This window comes from Homo sapiens, chromosome 7 (assembly GCF_000001405.40).
Source record: "Homo sapiens chromosome 7, GRCh38.p14 Primary Assembly".
NCBI lineage: Eukaryota > Metazoa > Chordata > Mammalia > Primates > Hominidae > Homo > Homo sapiens.
This window is the reverse complement of record NC_000007.14, coordinates 1,619,394-1,622,230: the sequence shown is the minus strand read 5'-3', so window position 1 is coordinate 1,622,230 and position 2,837 is coordinate 1,619,394. Positions and strand designations below refer to the sequence as shown.

The following is a 2,837-nucleotide window of genomic DNA, read 5'->3' as shown; positions in this document are numbered from 1 at the left end:
CTAATTTTGTATTTTCAGTAGAGACAGGGTCTCGCCATGTTGGCCAGGCTGGTCTCAAACTCCTGAGCTCAGGTGATCAGCCCGCCTCGGCCTCCCAAGGTGCTGGGATTACAGGCGTCAGCCACTGCACCCTGCTAATTCTTGTATTTTTAGTAGAGATGGGGTTCCACCGTGTCGGCCAGGCTGGTCTCGAATTCCTGACCTCAAGTGATCCGCCCACTTCAGCCTCCCCAAGTGCTGGGATTACAGGCACCTGCCACCACGCCCGGTTAATTTTTGAATTTTTAGTAAAGACGGAGTTCCGCCCTGTTGCCCAGGCTGACCTCAGGTGACCCCCCTCTCCCACCTTGGCCTCCCAGAGTGCTGGGATGACAGGCTTGCGTCACCACACCGGGCTAATGCTTGTATTTTTAGTAGACAGGCCTCGCCGTGCTGCCCAGGCTGGTCTTGAGTCTTGGTTTGTTGTATTATTCCCACTGCACCCCCCAGGAGTTCCCCACCTGCCACCCCTTCCCCGGGATCTGGCCACCTATGAGTGGGGCAGCCACCTGTCACCCCAGGCCCTCCTCACCTCTCTCTGCTCCTGCAATCCTGTGCCCCTCCCCTTGGCTTCCAGAAACTCAAATCTCCCCATTCATCACCCGGAAGCTTTGAGTAGATGGAGGTCTAGCAACACAGCCTCTCAGAGAGGCCAGTGTGGGACCCTGCGGAGCACGGGCTGTGCAGTCAATCTGGGGAAATGGGCTCACCTGATGGAAAACGCTAAGCAAAGCCTCTGCCCCAACCCGCCACAAATTCCTGTGACATGGATTAGAGACCTCAGCGCACAAAGCAAACTTTTTTATGCTTTCTGGACCGGGAAAGAGTTTGTACATAAACACCAAAAGCACAAATCACGAACAGAAAGATTGCCAAGTCCAGACAGAGCAAAATTAGAAACGTCTGCATGACAAAAGCGCACCATAAACAACGCAGCGAGACAAGCCACAGACACAGAGGGGATATCTGCAACCCAGATCACCAACAAAGGGGTCATACCTGAGACGGACGGGGAGTCCCACAGATCAAGGGGAGATGAACAGCCCCGTCGGAGCGGGCGACGTGGAAACCCTCCGGCGAGTCCCAGAAGAGGCCGGTGGCTGCTACCAAGAGGCGCCCGCTGCGGTCACAATGGGGGCAACGTGGACGGAGACCTCCATGAGATGCGGCCCCCACACCACCCGCCGGGCCTGAGTGTGGCACAAGGACGTGCTGGTGAGGACCGAGAGCCTCAGTGCCTCTCCCCTTGCAGGAGCGCCAAGTGGCACGTCCCTTTGGAGGCTACCCGGCTGTTTCTCCTGCGGTTGAGACCACACCTGCTCCATGCCCGGCGGTTCCACCCTAGCGTGTGTCCTGGGGCAGGTGCAGCATCGCTGGGGATAACGGGAGCTAGAAACAGCATCCAGGCGCCTTTTCAGGGAAACGAATGAATCACCTGTGGTGCCTGGTGGGGGACGCCGCCGCGCAGTTCACACCAACAGATTCCAGATGAACCACACCTGCTTCTATCAACGCGGATTAACCTCAGAAGGGTACTGTGGGGTGAGAAGAGCAAGTTGCTGAATGTCACGGACAGCAAAATACCATTTATACAAAGTTTAAAAATACAAATTTCACGGCCGGGTGAGGTGGCTCACGCCTGTGACCCCCAGCATTTTGGGAGGCCAAGGCAAGCGGATCACCTGAGGTCAGGAGTTTGAGACCAGCCTGGTCAACATGGTGAAACCCCATCTCTACTAAAAATACAAAAAATTAGCTGGGTGTAGTTGCAGGCGCCTGTAATCCCAGCCACCGGGAGGCCGAGGCAGGAGAATCCCTTGAACCCGGGAGGCGGAGCTTGCGGTGAGCCGACGTTGCGCCACCGCACTCCAGCCTGGGCAACAGGAGCAAAACTCCACTTCAAAAAATTAAAAAATTAAAAAATTAAAAATAAATAAAAGGAGCCCCAGAGGGCTCCCTCACCCCTTTCCCACAAGAGGGCACGGCGGGAAGGTGTCGCCTATGACCCAGGAAGCCTTCGGCAGACACGGAGCCTGCCGGGGCCTGGATCTTGTGTCTGCCTCGAACCTGTTTTTCCGGGTTCTTCGCTGCCCGTGGCCGCCCCGTCGGAGGCTCCAGGGTGCAGTTCACCTGCTGGCTTCATCACGGCCTCCTGAGCCCTGAGGCCCGGGCGGGGGCGGGAGAGCAAGTCCAGGGTCACAGGCGTGGAGGGGTGCTCCGCGTGAGATGCGGCCCTCCTCCGAGGCGGTTCGGATGAGGGGGACCCCCGAGAGCGATGGGGACTTGGGGTCCCCGGGAGGAGTTAGCAGTAAAGCAGCCGCCACGGTGGGGACCCTGCAGGTGGCCAGGGAGGGCTGGATGCGGTCTCCTCTCCCACCGGCCCATCTCCCTGCCCCCAGCACAGGACGGGCTCGCGTGGGGGGCTGACGGGAGCTCAGGGGCCGGTCAGGCCCACCCCTCACTCCCCGGTCCAGGCCTGGGGGCGACAGCAACTGCGGGCATTGGAGGAGGCCGTCTGACGCGCAGCCAGACCCCGCCACAGAGAGTGACCCGGAGGCCCAGGGCCCCGCTCGGGCGGGTGAGGGTTCCTGCACGACGCCAGCTTCCGGGGGAAGCGGAAGCTGCTCACACTCACGGCTCCACCCAGGTGGGGCCCTTCAATAACTCGGTTCCGCTAACGTGGTGCCGGCTTCACACACCGGCTCCCCCGCCGCTCAGACGGTTCCAGCTGTCCTTCTCCCCTCCTCGCGTTCTTACCAACGCACTTGGGGCTGGAGAACCCTCGCGCCACCCACACT

At 59.7% G+C, this 2,837-nt stretch overlaps 1 long non-coding RNA gene across 1 annotated transcript; it reads right to left on the bottom strand.

Annotated features, from left to right (window-relative positions):
• Window positions 1-826: 826 nt before the first annotated feature.
• Window positions 827-2,636, bottom strand: LOC105375303 (uncharacterized). Its single transcript, NR_165252.1, has 2 exons — window positions 2,107-2,636; window positions 827-1,574 (listed from the first exon to the last, which is right to left on the bottom strand). It is a non-coding gene; the product is annotated as an uncharacterized LOC105375303 (long non-coding RNA).
• Window positions 2,637-2,837: the final 201 nt, after the last annotated feature.